The sequence below is a fragment of the Homo sapiens genome, chromosome X (genome assembly GCF_000001405.40).
Source record: "Homo sapiens chromosome X, GRCh38.p14 Primary Assembly".
In the NCBI taxonomy this organism is placed as follows: Eukaryota; Metazoa; Chordata; class Mammalia; order Primates; family Hominidae; genus Homo; species Homo sapiens.
The window spans coordinates 111,692,828-111,709,733 of record NC_000023.11 but is presented as its reverse complement, the minus strand read 5'-3'; the positions used below and the strand labels follow the sequence as shown (position 1 = coordinate 111,709,733).

General features: G+C 36.2%; 1 protein-coding gene across 32 annotated transcripts in view; it reads right to left on the bottom strand.

The window, feature by feature from the left end:
• Positions 1-16,906, bottom strand: part of ALG13 (ALG13 UDP-N-acetylglucosaminyltransferase subunit) — a 79,480-nt gene that overhangs the window by 50,916 nt on the left and 11,658 nt on the right. For 29 of the 32 annotated variants that reach the window (NR_148693.2, XM_011531031.2, NM_001257237.2 and 26 more), the window contains 2 exons: positions 1,341-1,707; positions 686-769 (listed from right to left, as the gene is read on the bottom strand). The exons of 2 other annotated variants lie outside the window; for them this stretch is intronic. Coding sequence is in view for 29 of the 30 variants with exons in the window: in XM_011531031.2 (XP_011529333.1) it covers positions 686-769; positions 1,341-1,707 (451 nt within the window). In the remaining variant the exon portion in view is untranslated. The remainder of the gene's footprint in view (positions 1-685; positions 770-1,340; positions 1,708-16,906) is intronic. One more of the 32 variants, XM_047442526.1, reaches the window with a different exon arrangement.

Genomic DNA, 16,906 nt, shown 5'->3' with positions numbered 1-16,906 from the left:
GAAACAAATAGCACTGCAAGGGCCAGAAGTGTTTAAAAAAAAAAAAAAGAAAAGGAAGCCTCCAATTTCATTAACAAGAATTCAAATACATGAAGGTGTACAAATATGTCTTCTGTAAGTTGTTTTACCTAAAGTTAATCATTAGTGGCAGAGCTCTAATTATACAATTTGTGACATGGAAAGACTAGATACTTAGACTCATTTGTTCCCTTACAATTAAGTTTTACAAGATTCCTCAAATTGACTGGCTGAAGATTATTGTACACAGGATTAAGCAAGAAAATAGAGGGGGTTCCCATTTTTACGTATTTTAAAATATGCATTGCAAAATATTAACAGAGCCAAACCTTTCATGAACTATTATTAATTGTTCAATAAAACTGTATGGATAATATAAAACAGCAATCAAAACATAACTTTTTAGGGTCTGGAGTTCTTGGCGTAGGACGAGGTAAGTAGTGGGAAAATGTAGATTATTCTTGATTTTTAATTAGAGTCCTAAACAACCTAATTCTAGCAGAGGCTCAAGAAGCATGTTAGCTACTGGGAAGGGAGCCAGTTGGGAATTATATATTTGCTATTGAGGAGACAGCATGATATAGTTTAATTTTGGTAGGTGCTCACAATTATTTTTCCACCTGCTACACACTCTACCAGTTCTCCCCTGGGTATGTATTCTACTTACAGACTCAAAAGTTTGTTGATTTTCCCTCATATATGAGACACAAGCCTTCCTGATTTCCAAATGATGGACCTGGCTGCAAAACAACTAAAAAGAAGAGAAAGACCAGCCCACTGTCAGTAGTCATTTAAAATAGGCACTTCTAAATCAAGACTATGAACTGGACACTTAAGGCTTCCTTATTCAGAACATATGTAGGAAATTGGGAAATTAAATCATCTTACTAAAAGTTTTTTTAATATCATCTTCAACGAAATGGGGGAAGGATGACTGTCATGCCCCATCCCCTTTTCTACTCCTTATGTGCACAGCCTATAATTTTTTTCTTAGGCATTAAAATTAGAGGAAGCAGGGGATGCTTACAAAGGATCAAGATATATTTCAAAGTTGTCTTTAGCCTCCTTATCTTACCCCTCCTACATTACAAACTGGCATTTAAAAAAACAGAAAAGATAGCAAAGGTTCAGCAATATAGACTATTCAGCAAAGGCATGCACCAAGCTAATAAGAGCAGGCAGCTTCTCTCTAGGACCTTGACAGGCCCGATGTTTTCACTAGAAAGCAGGGGAATTTTTTTGTTTCTTCTGGCAAACTACAGGACCATCCCATGTCTCAAACTCTGAAAACTCAGTACAGGGAAGATATGTTTTCCTTTTACCTGCTCCGAAATGGCCCGAAAGAGGCAAGAGGCATCCTTGGCAGTCAGCTTTCGAAACAGCCCTAAGCTGCCTAAATATTCATCCATTGATGCCTCATTCAAAGACTTCTGGCTGCAGTAGTTTTTCCATCCTTTATGCATTTTGTACAGGGTGGGGGTAAGAGGGAGAGGAAAAAAAGCGTGGCAAGAGGGAAAAAGCAGGGTGCAGGTAGGATGGGTAGCAGTAACAAGGGCTTGCTTATGCAGGTATCCGGAAAGCAGCCCAAAGTCTAGGCCTGAAAAGGCAGTTGAAGTCAGCGCTGCAGAATCTTGGCACTTCCCAGGAGCAGAAGCAATGGACTTGGCTTGCCCAGGACAAGTCAGGACCCTGTGAAAAGAAGAGGAAGAGCCAATCCTCCTAGGAATAGGGAACTCAGACTAAGCAGGAGACATGGGAGGGAGGGAGAAAGTACTTAGAGTTACCTCCTTGGGAAAGAGTGGAATTAACCCAATCTAACCCAATCAGACCAAGGTTGAGAAAAGTATGCATAAGCAGCTGAGCTTTGGGTCTAGAAGGAAACTGACTTTGCAGCTTAACTCGGGGCAACTGCTGCACGAGGCTGAAAAGGGACTACAATAAGGCTCAGGTGTGTAGGATGCAGCCTGGTCCACATTACATTGCTTGAAGAATTGCTTTAAGATCTCTAGCTGAATTTTCAACTACAGTCTCTCCCCAAATTCCCTGCTCCTTTCATAGTTTCAGGGAAACATGGAGGGACAGAATCTTCATGAACCTAGTTAACCAGTAAGCATTTGCATTAATACCTTTTTAATAAACACAAAAAAGGAGAAGGAACTTCCCTTAATCTATAGCGGCAGAGGGCACAGTTCAAGCTAAGTGCCAAGGCTATTACCTGGATATTTCAGATATAGGGTTGAAGTAATCTTCTCATTTAATTCTAGATAATAATCTCTGCCAGGATCACAGAAACTAAATCTTATTAGCCATGCTAGGGAAACTTTATACAATTCTTGACTAATGCCTCCAAACTACTATATGGCACCAATAAAAAAGAAAAATGCAAAAAAGTGTGTTTCTTTAAAAATGGAAATAAAAATTTAAATGGAAGCAGCATGAAAATATCCACAAATGGATAGACTACATTTGAAATGGTATGGTAGAGTATGAGATGAGTTGGACAATGAGAGATGTGTTTCAATGTTTTACTAGTGTACTTTTCCAGACACATTACTCTGGATTCTGAGAAAACCAAAGAAAATACTAAGTGCCAAAGGCAGGCCCAATTGCTTGTTTTATTTGTTCCTATTATCTATACTATCTAGTGTCTTTTATTTTTATTTAAATGCAAAAATCCAATTCCTTTCTTACATTTTTTAAGTATTAAAAATAAATAGGTCAAAAGCTGGCTTTAGAGAAGGCACAACATTAAGCTGCTTTCAAAATTGTTTTTTCCTTTTTTTTTTTTTTTTGTATCTGTGGATCCAGTAGTAATCATGACTGCTCCCTCTAGGAAAAGCAGCAATATTTTATAATTTGGGAATGAAATAATGTTTGACATGGTAAAAAAGGAATAAATCTTGACTTCCTTTGCATGCCAATTTGAAATTACCTTAATTTCTTTTTATTTTTTTAAAGTGTCTCACTCTGTCACCCAGGCTGAAGTGCAAGTGCAGTGGTGTGAACACAGCTGACTGCAGCCTCAACCTCCTGGGCTCAAACAATCCTCCTGCCTCAGCCTCCCAAGTAGCTAAGACCACAGGTGCATGCCACCACCACACCCAGCTAATTTTTCTATTTTCTGTAGAGATGGGGTCTTGCCACATTGCCCAGCTGGTCTCGAACTCCTGGGTTAAAGCTATCCTCCCACCTCAGCTTCACAATGTGCTGGAATTAGAGGCATGAGCCACCATGTCCAGCCACTAATTTCTTTTTTAAAGAAACTGTAACACTGGAGAAGTGATGCCTTTTGCAGAAGTTCTGAAACACACAGTTTGGGAAGAGAGATTGCCATCTTTCGTTAAGGTCACTAATTCACTGAGAAAAATTAATTAAGGGTTATAATTTGGTCAGGCACAATGGCTCACGCCTGTGATCCCAGCCCTTTGGGAGGCCAAGGCAGGCAGATCACGAGGTCAGGAGATCGAGACTATCCTGCCTAACACGGTGAAACCCCATCTCTACTAAAAATACAAAAAATTAGCTGGGCGTGGTGGTGGGCGCCTGTAGTCCCAGCTACTTGGGAGGCTGAGGCAGGAGAATGGCATGAGCCGAGATCACACCACTGCACTCCAGCCTGGGCAACAGAGCGAGACTCCGTCTCAAAAAAAAAAAAAGGGATTATAATTTAAAAGTTAATTTGTTTCCAGCATATTGTACTTGTAAAGAAAAACACAAATGCTTCACATCTGCTTTTTAAACTAAAAATAAGTATGATATATAAAACAATGCAATCTAAATGCTTCATTTTGAGGAAGGGAATGGGGGAAGGGAAAATCAGGAGAAGGAGGGAGAGAATCAGAAAAGTAATAGAAAACTGAAAAAAAAACACAAGTAGGGACAGGAAGACAAAAGGAGACAGAGCAAGAGAAAAGTTAACACACAGGGAAGCACACAGAAGTAGATCCACACAAATATGGTCCATTGATTTTTGACAAAGGTGCAAAATCAGTTGAATAGAAAAAAGATAGCATTTTCATCAAGTGGTGCCAGAACAATTGACCATCCACATGCAAAAAAAAGGATCCTCAACCTATACCTCACACCTTGTACTATAATTAACTCAAAGTGGTATAAATGTAAAATAAAACTTCAAAATTTTAAAAAATAAAACATAGGAGAAAATCTTTAAGATCCTGGGTTAGGCAGTGAGTTCTCAGATACATAATAGAAAAAAAAATTAACTCGATTTTATCAAAATTAAAAACTTTTGCTCTGCAAATGACATTGTTAGGAGAATGAAAATACAAGCCATAGACTGGAATAAAATATTTTTACATCACATATCTAACCAGAAAAACTTTGTACCAAAATATATAAAGAACTCTGAAAAGTCAACAATAAAAAAAATCCAATTTCTTAAATAGACAAAAGATTTGAATACACATTTCACCAAAGATATAAGAATGACTAATGAGCACATAAAAAGATATTCAAAATCATTGATCTTTAGGAAAATGAAAATTAGAACCACAATAAGACATCATTACATACCTACCAGGATAGCTGTAATAAACAATACAGACAGTAACAAGCATTAACAAGGATTGGAGAAACTGGTCCTAAGAAGATGGAAGCAAAAACTGTATGATTTCAAAAGGAATATGATTCCATTTATATGAAATATGCCAAAAGGGTAAATCTAGAGACAGAAAGCAGATGAAGTGGTTGCCCGGGGCTGGAGTGGAAATAGGCATTGACTACAAATAAGCACAAAGAATCTTTCTGGAATAATAAAAATCTTCTAAAACTATTTTGTGGTGATATGTGCACAATTCTGTATATTCACTAAAAATTAAATTGTACTCTTAAAACTGGTAAATTTAACAGCTTTCAGATATGTCACATACCATATAATTCACCCACTTAAAGTATACAATTCAATGGTTTGTTGTATAGAGTTGTGCATCCATCACCATAATCAACTTTAGAACATTCTCTTTATCCCAAAATAAAACTCTGCATCCTGTAGCTGTCAACCTCTAATCCCTCTATCCCCACCAACCCCAGACAACCACTAATCTACTTCCTGAATCTATAGATTTCCATATTCTGAACATTTCAAACAAATGGGATCATAAAGTATGTGGTCTTGTGTCACTCGCTTCTTTTACTTAGCATAAGGTTTTCAAAGTCCACCCATGTTGGAGCATGGTGCATCACTACATAGTTCAATCCCCTGCATAAACCAAAATTTGTTTATCCATTCATTAGTTGATAGAAATTTGGGTTGTTTCCACTTTTGGGCTATTATGAATAATATTTCCATAAATATTCACATGCAAGTTTTTGTTTAGACTTATGTTTTCAATTATCTTAGGTATATACCTAGGAGTGGAGTTACTGGATCATATGGTAACTCTATTTAACCTAATGTTAGGAACTGTTTTTCAGAGCAACTGCACCATTTTACATTCTTACCAATAGTGTATGAGGGTTCCATTTTCTCTAGATTCTTATCAACACTTGTTATTTTCCATCTTTTGATTATAGTAAACCTGGTGGGTGTGAAGTGGTATCTCACTGTGGTTTTGATTTGCATTTCCCCAGTGGCTAATGATATTGAGCATCTTTTCATCTGCTTATTGGCCATTTGTGTGTCTTTAATGAGATACTACTGCATACTAACTAAAATAATTTTTTTAACTGACAATACCAAGTGTTGAAAAGGATATAGAACTGGAACTCTCATACGTTGCTAGTGGGAATGTAAAATAGTACAACCACTGTGGAAAATAGTTTAACAGTTTCTTATAAAATTGAACAGAATTACCATATGATCAAGCAATCCCACTTCTAGGTAACTACATAAGAGAAATGGTAACACCAAAACCTCTATGTGAATGTTTATAGTAGCTTTATCCATAATCATGAGCTCTCAAAACTGGAAACAATCTAAACATTTTTCAGCTGGTGAATGGACAAAAACTGTGGTACATTCAAACAATAGAATACTTCCTAGGAATAGAAAATAATGAAATATTGATACATAAAAGAACACGTATCTCAAATGTAACATGCGAAGCAAAAAAAGACATGAGTCAAAAGGCTACACACTGTATGCCTGCATTTATATGACATTGAAAAAGGCCAAACTATAGGAAAGGAAAACAGATTAGTTTTTGCCAGTAGTTAGGGTTGAAGGGCTGACTACAAAGAGAAAGGATAAATGGGGGCACTGGAACTGTTCTGCATCTCGACTGTGGTAGTGGTTACATGATTACGCGTTTGTCAAAATTATAGAACTATATAAGAAAACAGGCCAATTTTACTGTATTTAAATTTAACAGTTAAGTAAAACAAAAAAGCAGAAGAAATAACAGAGTTGAGGAGCTCACAGAATAGTCAACAATATTGGGAAGAAAAAATAAGAAAATTAGATTATTAATCTAGGAAAGCCAACATCTAACCAACAGGAAGCCCGAAGTGAAATGAGGAAAGCAGAGGGAAAGAAATGATAATGATGATGATGATGATGATGATGATGATGACAATATAAAAAAATTCTAGCACTGTAGAACATGAGTATCCATATTGAGACTGAAAGGGCCCATGAAGCAGCCACAACAATGAAAGCAAAAAAGATCATCCCTGGACATAACAATAAAGTTTCTGAAGTCAGGGGATAAAGAGAAGATCCTAAAGCTTTCACAGAAGAAGAACAGTTTATACACAAAAGAACACAAATAAGAACACAATATACTTCTCAAAAGAAAAACTAGGATTCGGAAAACAATGAAGCTCTAGATTAGAGGGGAAGTTATTTCCAACCTTTATTTCTATTGCAAGCTATCAAATGAAAGAGTAAAACAAGGTGTTTTTAGAAAAAAAAAAAGATTCAAAAATGTTGCCACCCTTTCTCAGAAAAGCTACTGAAGATATGTGAAACCAAAATAAAGAATTTTTTTTTTAAAGTCTGGGGGTGGAAGGGAGCAATCTTGGAAATAGGAGATTCAACACAAGAGAAAAGCAAAGAGAAATTACAGGATAAGGATGAAGGGGAAATCGCAGGAAGATAGACACTCAGAAGGACTAGAAAATAAGCATTTCCAAAAATAGGACAGAGAACTCCAGTGTGGATATCTCAAAAAAGATAATAAAGGTTTAGATAACCCGATGTGTTTGAATATAATGAGAGATGTACACTTCTGTTGGAAAGTTTGGAGATGTTACTATCAAAAAGTGGGAAAATGATGAAATAACAAAATGAGATAAAACAAAGTTTTACAGGAAAGGAAATAAAATCATTGAACACTACATGGCTCAGATGTGAATAATACCGTAGTTAAGCAGTCATAATAATGTCAACATTGAAAATGAATCTCACAGAACTGATAAAACTAAATTAGGAGGATAGGAAGGAAAATGGGGAAGAGAAAAAAGAAAAAGTCTCCTCTTTGGGATCTCATTACCCCTCTTTCAACAATGGACAGATAACCTAGACAGAAAATCAATTAGGAAACATTAGACTTGAATTATACTTTACACCAAATGGACCTAACAGACATATACAGAATATTCAATCCAACAGCAACAGAATACACATTCTTGCTATGCACACATGGACCATTCTCCAGGATAGATCACATTGTTAGGCTAAAAAACAAGTCTTAACAAATTTAAGGAAATTGAAATCATATCAAGCATCTTTTCAGATCACAATGGCATGAAACTATAAATCAGTAACAGAAAGAATCTTGAAAAACACACAAATATGTGGGAATTAGACAAAATGCTTCTGAACAAGTCAATGTGTCACAGAATAAATCAAAAAGGAAATTAAAAAAAACCCTTGAGACAAATGAAAATGGAAACACAACATACAAAAACTTACAGGATGTAACAAAAACAGTTCTAAGAGGGAAATTTATAGTGGTAAATGCCTACACTAAAAAGGAAGAAAGATCTCAAATAATCTAACATACTTCAAGGAACTAGAAAAAGAACAACCTAAAGTTAGCAGAAGGAAGGAAACAAAGATCAGAGCATAAATAAATGAAAGAGACTAGAAAAATGATAGAAAAATAATAAACGAAACTAAGAGTTAGTTCCTTGAAAAGATAAACAAAATTGACCTACCCTTAGCTAGACTAGGAGAAAAAGACTCAAATCAGAAATGGAATAGGAGACATTACAACTGTTATCACAGAAATACAAAGGATCACAAGAAACTACTATAAACAATTATACGCCAACAAATTGGATAGTCTAGAAGAAATGGATGAGTTCCTAGACACATACAACCTACCAAGACTAAATCATGAAGAAATAGAAAATCTGAACAGACCAATAATGAGGAAGGAGATTGAATCAATAATAAAAGTCTCCCACCAAAGTCCAAGACCCCATGGCTTCACTGCTGAATTCTACCAAACATTTAAAGAACCAGTACCAATCCTTCTTAAGCTCTTTCAAAAAACTGAAAAAGAAGGAATATTTCTAAACTCATTTTACAAGACCAGCATTACCCTGATACCAAAGCCAGACAAGGACACTACAAAAATAGAAATTTACAGACCAATATCCCTGATGAACATAAATGCAAGTCGTCAACAAAACCCTAGCAAGCTATATTCCACAACACATTACAAGACTCATTCCCCATGCTCAAGTGGGATTTATCCTGGGGCTGCAAGGAAGGTTCAATATACACAAATCAACAAATGTGATACACCACATTAACAGAATGAATAAAAATCATGATCATTTAAATAGATGCAGAGAAAGCATCTGACAAGATTCAACACCCCTTCATAATGAAAAAACAAACAAACAAAAACACTCTTGGCCGGGCACGGTGGCTCACACCTGTAATCCCAGCACTTTGGGAGGCCAAGGCGGGCAGATCACGAGGTCAGGAGTTCAATACCAGCCTGGCCAACATAGTGAAACCGCATCTCTACTAAAAAAAAAAAAAAAAAAAAATACAAAAATTAGCTGGGCATGGTGGCGGGCGCCTGTAATCCCAGCTACTCAGCAGGCTGAGGCAGGTGAATCGTTTGAACCTGGGAGGCGGAGATTGCAGTGAGCCGAGATCACGCCATTGCACTCCAGCCTGGATGACAGGGTGAGACTCCATCTCAAAAAAAAACAAAAAAAAACAAAAAAAAACACCTCTCAACAGATTAGGTATACAGGAAATGTATATCAGTACAATAAACACCACATATGATAAACCCATAGCTATGACCATTTTCAAGAGTGAAAAATCGAAAGCTTTTCCTCTGAGATCAGGGACAAGACAAGGATGCCCCCTCTCACCACTTCTATTCAACATACAAATCGTAGCCAGAGCAATTAGGCAAGAGAAAGAAAACACATCCTACTAGAAAAGGAAGAAATGAAATTATCTTTATTTGCTGATAACATGCTCTTACATATAGAAAAACCTAAAAACTACACCAAAAAATGGTTAGAACTGATTAAAAAAATGAGTAAAGTTGAAGGATACAAAATCAACATATAAAAAATCAGTAGTGTTTCTACATTATCCAAAGAGAAAATTAAGACAACAATCCCATTTACAATAGCAATAGCAACAAATACTTAGGTATAAATGTAACCAATGAGGTAAAAGACTGATATAACACTGAAAACTATAAAACACTCATGAAAAAAACTGAAAAAAAAAAAAAAAACCCACAAATAAACGGAACAATATCCCATGTTTATGGATTGGAAGAATATTGTGAAAATGTCCACACTACCAAAGTGATCCACAGATTCAATGCAATCTCTATCAAAATTCCAATGACATTTTTGCCGAAATAGAAAAAAAAAAATCCTTAAATTTATATAGAACCACGGAAGATCCCAAATAGACAAAATAATCTTCAGTAAAAAGAACAAAGCTGGCAGCATCTCACTCCCTAACTTCAAATCATATATAAAGTGAGCATAATCAAAACAGCATCATGCTGGTATAAAAACAGACACATCAAAAAAAGGAACAGGATAGAAAGCCCAGAAAGAAACCTAAACATTTATGGTCAATTTTCAACAAAGGTATTAAGAATGCACAATGGGGAAAAGACAGTCTTGTCAATAAATGGGGTTGGGAAAACTGACTATCCACGGGCAGAAGAATGAAGTTGGATCCTTACCTTACATCATATTAAAAAATCAACTCAAAATGGATTGAAAACTTAAATATAAAACCTGAAACTGCAAAACTACTAGAAGAAAACATAGGGGAAAAGCTCCACACTTCTTTGGGCAATGATTCTTTGAATATGACCCTGTAAGCACAGGTAACAAAAGCAAAAATAGACAAATGGTATGGCACCAAACTAAAAAGCTGCTGCACAGCAAAGGAAACTATTAACAAAGTGAAGAGACAACTCACAGAAATTGAGAAAATATCTGTAAACTATACATCTGATAAGGGGTTAATATCCAAATATGTAAGGAAATCAAATAACTCGAAAAAAAAAACCTGTAAGGAAATCAAACAACTCAACAAGCAAGAAAACAACCCAATTTAAAAATGAGCAAAGGAACTAAACGAACATTTCTCAAAAGACGACATAAAAATGGCAAACAAGTACATGAAAAAATGCTCAGCATCACTAATCATTAGAGAAATGCAAATCAAAACATGAGATTATCACCTCACAACTGTTAGAATGGTTTTTATTTAAAATGATGAAAGATAACAAGTGTTGGCAAGGATGCAGAGAAAAGAAAACTGTTGTACGTTGTTGGTGGGAATGTAAATTAGTACAGCCATTATAGAAAACAGTATGGAAGTTCCTCAAAAAATTAAATAGAACTACCATATGATCTAGTAATTCTACTTCTGGGTATATATCCAAAGGAAATAAAATCAGTATGTCAGGGGATACCTGCACTCCCGTGTTCATTACAGAATTATTCACAGTACCCAAGATAAGGAAACAACCTAAGTGTCCATCAGTGGATGAATGGATAAAGAAAATGTGGTACATATACAAAATGGAATGCTATTCAGTGTTTAGAAAAACGAAATTCTGTCATTTGTGACAACATAGATGAACCTAGAGGACGTTATATGCTAAGTGAAATAAGCCAGGCACAGAAAGACAAAGAGGGCATGATTTACATGCGGAATCTAAATAAGTTGAACTCATAGAAGTAGAGAGTTAGAATGATGGTTACCAGAAGCTGGGGGGTGAGTGGGAAAAGAGAAAATGGGAGTTGTTGATCAAAGGGTACAAAGCTTCAGACAGACAGAGGACATAAGTTCTGGGATCTTTTGTACAGCAGAGTCGCTACAGTCAATAATAATATATTGTGTACTTCAAAATAAGAATTTCAAATTTCTCACCATAAAAAATGATAGGTAAGTGAGGTGAATATGTTAATTAGCTTGACATAATCATTCCACATTGTACACAAATAGCAAAACATTACATTGTACCCTATAAATGCATATACAATTGTGACGTGTAAATTAAAAACATTAATTTTTGAAAAGTCTCCTCTTCCATGTAGGAAGGTTACAATGATATTCAAATTTAAAAAACAAAACAAAACCAGTTTAAGCATATTATTTATAAAACATAAAGTAATACGGTCATCTATAAGAAGCAGGAACAGAGATGCGGAGGAATAGGACATACAACTGCTGTTTCTTGTTGTAAGCCTTGTATAATCAATTAACATTTTTAACTATTCACATGTATTACCTTAATTTTAGAAAGCAAATTTAAACATTTTATCATTAGTGAGCAAGAAACAATAGCATCATAAACTGGGAAAACAAGTAATTGGAATTTTACAGCTCCAAGGGATCTCTTACTTTACAGATGAAGAAACAGGTCTGAAATAGTTTTAAGACCTACCTAAGTTTTCACATCCAATCAGTAACAGTACTGAAACTAAAACTATATAAAATCTCCTGATGTTTGCACAATTACCATAAAGAGGAATTACATACCAAGGCAGAAAAAACATGAACAAAAGCCCAGAAGTGGTAAAGCAGAGGTTCCATTCTGCAGATTAGTACAATAGGATATTTTAAAGAGAACTGTGGGTCGATTCTAGACTTTGTCTTGCATATAATAAAAAGCCACTTCAAGGTATTTAATACTGTCCTTTGAAATATCGCACTTGAAATCCCAATTGGCTTTCTCCACAGCAAACTACTTTAGTCCTGAAAAACTTCCAGAACAGTGGTTCTCAAGTGGAGGGCTTGTTAAAAGATTGCCTCTTGCCCAAGGGATTCTGAGGCAGGTCTGGGATGAATCCCAAGAATTTGCATTTCTAACAAGTTCCCAGGTGATGATGATGCTGGTCCAGGGAATACACTTTGAAAACCACTGCTCTAGAACAACATATTCCTAAAAAGAGAATTTCAAGGCCAAAATTTCAGCAAACTTTGCATATTATAATCCTATCCTTGAGATTCACAGTGCCCATTAGCAACATTAAAGGTCCTAAGGAATGCTTATAGTAAATGCTTCACATTTTTGACCTAGCCTTTATCAAACACCTTCTTCCCTCCATAGATCACCTATTAATGTTTCAAAGTTTGAGAAACACTGCTCTAGAAATTTTTGTGACTTAAACCTAAGGTTGTTAGAATAATACAAAAGACACTGTATATTCAGTGTTTAGCACGTTCGTGCTTAAATATGGATGGCTGTTAGCTGCTACCTGACAAAACATTCAGCAAGCAATCATTCTTTGGTCCAAAAAAAAAAAAAAAAAAAAAGGTAAGAACCAGAGCAATTTCACTGAAATTCTACTGGAAATCAAAGTTCTAATATGGGTCCATATCCTGTTTCCCCATCCCTAATGGAATTATTCCCTTTGACATCTAAGTATAATGGAAAGAAAATGTCTTAAAAAAGACATTTTAAGTTTTAAGCACTGTATCTCTGGGTACAGATTAAAATAAGTTGAAAAAACATTAAAGTAACTTTAAATAACATAGTTTACTTGTCATGAAACTGATGGGCTTTAATTTTGCAATGACTACTTTTTATACTGAAATTTAGCTAGAATACGTAATTTGCCCTTTTAATTGCTATATTTATTTCTTCACTGATAAACAAGGAAACTGTAGTGTGACATATAAATACTAATGATTTTAATTCTAAAATAACACTTCACGTTTCAACCAATTAAATGAGGTATGTCCGGAATTATTTTTTTAAAGCATACATTACCTGTGACATACAAGGTATAGTTGTAAATGTGTATGACAAAATGCTATGAGTTATTAGTTTCTGAGAGGCAATATGGTATCATGAAAAGAATGTTATGAACTTGGCTGTACCACTTTAAGTCTCAGTTTCCTCATCTGTAAAATAAGTAGATGGGCTGCATAATCTCTAAGCACTCTTCCAAATGTAGGGAATTACTCTGTGATTCAACAGTGGATAACAGACTTTAGGTGGTAAAATTTGTAATCAATATTAAAATATTGATAACACCTTCCTTTAAGTGGTCAAATTTGTGATCAATATTAAAAATAGCTTTTGGGTGTTAGCCTATTATCTTGGCAAAAAGTGGGGATGACTGGCCCACATAAAAATGAATAAATCTGACATTACCACATAAACAGACCTAGATTTTTAAAGATAACAAACCCATGTATTAACATATAACAACTTGTAACAGAACCTACTGAAAAGCCAGTATTTTAAAAATTAGCCCTAAATAACTTACTTCAATTATTTTTAGTACCAAATAACATGAAGCAAATTAAGGGAAATAACTCTACAGAACCTCTTTTTAGGGTCTTTCATTACTGAAAATATAATGGTAATGTGTTTTAAAAATGTATTTTAACAGCACCCTGGAACTAGAGCCTATCAACTTTTCAGGGTGAACATTCAAGCAGAATTAGCAAAGCAAGATTTATGAAGGAAGGGAACACAATGGTTCTAAAACAAAGCATGGCCTGGCAGCCCTGTTCAACCTCCTCCTCAAGTTTTAGGAAGGAGAAATAAAGGCAAGACAAAGAATGGATTTCCCAAAGAAGTAATCCTTCTTCGGAATTGCAAAATAAAATATTATCAAGAACCACTTGCTTTCATTTTCTTCTCTTCCCCATTTCCACCTGATAGCATGACAATACAGATTTTTTTTTAAAGGAAAATATTACTTTGCTTTAAAATATACCACACTGGCACACAAACACTGAGGGTTTGTTTTTTTTTTTTTTTTAAACAGAGTTTCGCTCTTGTTGCCCAGACTGGAGTGCAATGGCGCAATCTTGGCTCACTGCAACCTCTGCCTCCCAGGTTCAAGCAATTATCCTGCCTCAGCCTCCTGAGCGACTGGGATTACAGGCATGTGCCACCAAGCCGGGCTAGTTTTGTATTTTTAGTAGAGACGGGGTTTCTCCATGCTGGTCAGGCTGGTCTCAAGCTCCCGACCTCAGCTGAACCACCTGCCTTGGCCTCCCAAAGTGCTGGGATTACAGGCATGAGCCCCCGCGCCCAGCAGAAGGTTGTTTTTTGACTTAAGATACCTGCAGTGTCTGATCAGTCTAGAGACAGGATTAGCAGAAGGAGGGAAAAAACCCAGAACATTTGAAGCACTGGAAAGACTCATTCAATTAAACTTCTAAATAAACTTAAATTATCTAACTATAACCCCAATTAGAAACTGAGTATGAGTTTAAACATGAAATTCAATGAAAAATCTGCTTTCCGTATCATTTAGGACTATATTCTGTGAATTCTAAAAATAGATCTTAGTCCTACTTCTCAAAACAAAAACTAACCAAGAGAAAATGTGTTATTTCAACAGCATTTTTAATTTTTAAAACATGCCACACAACTAGGTTTATGTCTTAGAAATCACCCGAGAAGTTAGTTTTATTAATTCACAAACAGGAAAACTGAGATCCAGAAAACTACTAATTTAGGCTAAGGACTTAGGAATGTTTTTCATTACTAAATATGGGGAGTGTATTATCCCCTCACTTCACACTGGCAGTGGAGAATTGACCAGTATGTAATGCTGCACAAAAGGAGAAATGATCATTCAAAAAGATGTACTATATGCGTCTCATAGACATCATTCCAACAGTGACTATCAGGGTCCTGCAACCAAGTACTTTAGTAGCACACTTAACCATGAGTAAACACCATATTGTATTGCCTTACTGGATTTCTTCACCAGTCTATTATAGGATATTCTAAAATAATTACTACAAATAAAAAATTCCATTTAGTCCTTATTATCTATTAGAAAAGACACTATATGACATTATGGGTTACAGATACTGAGTTAATAGCATAAGAATATTAAGGTTAGTTTCAAAAATGTATTGGCTAGTATGCTTTAAACAAAAAAAGTATTGAATTTGTGTTACATTATAAAAACTGGGAATTACTGGCCGGGAGTGGTGGCTCATGCCTGTAATCCCAGCACTTTGGGAGGCTGAGGCGGGTGGATCACGAGGTCAGGAGATCGAGACCATCCTGGCTAACATGGTGAAACCCTGTCTCTACCAAAAATACAAAAAAAATTAGCTGGGCATGGTGGTGGGCGCCTGTAGTCCCAGCTACTCCGGAGGCTGAGGCAGAAGAATGGCGTGAACCCGAGAGGCGGAGCTTGCAGTGAGCAGAGACCGCGCCACTGCACTCCAGCCTGGGCGACAGAGCGAGACTTTGTCTCAAAAAAAAAATAAATAAATAAAAATAGAAATAAAAATAAAAACTGGGAATTACTAAATTTAAATGTAATTAATCAAAAGGGTTTAATTACAAATGAGTCTAGGAATTAAGACCAAAATAGTAATAAACAATGACCAAGAAATGAAGTTACTGAAGTTCGCCTCAGCCTAGGGATTCTTAACCCGGGGCCATGAGGTCCTGCAAACTTTCTGAAAGTCACTGCAAAATCATGTATATAGAGAAGAAAAGCCACAGTTTTAAATTAAAGAGTTCCATGGCTGAAAGAAGCTTAAGAACCACTGCCTCAGAGAACAGGACTGCAGCCACCAAAATAAAATCATGTTCAAAGCTATGATACAAGTGTCAATCAAAATAAGTAATTTTGGCCAGAATATGGTAAAAAATTTATAAGACAATGAAGATATAGAAATACCAACATAGATGGTATATAATGGTATTAAAAGCCTGTCAAAATATTTTTCAAGAATCAGTATCAACATTAAGAAGCATGTATTCTGGCCGGGCACAGTGCCTCATGCCTGTAATCCCAGCACTTTAGGAGGCCGAGGTGGGTGGATCGCTTGAGGCCAGGAGTTTAAGACCAGCCTGGCCAACATGGCAAAACCCCGTCTCTACTAAAAATACAAAAATTAGCCAGATGTAGTGGTGGATACCTGTAATCCCAGCTACTCAGGAGGGTGAATCACTTGAACCTGGGAAGCGGAGGTTGCAGTGAGCGGAGATAATGCCACTGCACTCCAGCCTGGGCAACAGAGCGAGACTCCGTTAAAAAAAAAAAAAATAAATAGCATCATGTATTCTACATTCCTGTTTGAACCTAGCCAGATTTGTCTACCTTTTGTTTAGCCGCCTACCAAAAAAAAAAAAAAAAAAAAAAGAATTAAAAACTGTATAATAAATAGAGCATTCACGTAGGGAATTAGCCATTAGCCACTTAATAAGTAATTAAATATCATTTGATGACTGGGCACAGTGGCTCACGCCTGTAATCCCAGCACTTTGGGAGGCTGAGGCAGGCAGATCACTTGAGCCCAGGAGTTCAAGACCAGCCTGCGCAACATGGCAAAACCCCGTCTCTACAAAAAATTAGCCAGGTGTAGTGGCCCATGCCTGTGGTTCCAGCTACTCCAGAGGCTGAGGTGGGAGGGTCACTTGACCAGGGGAGGCAGAGGAGCCAATATCTTGCCACTGCACTCCAGCCTCGGTGACAGAGA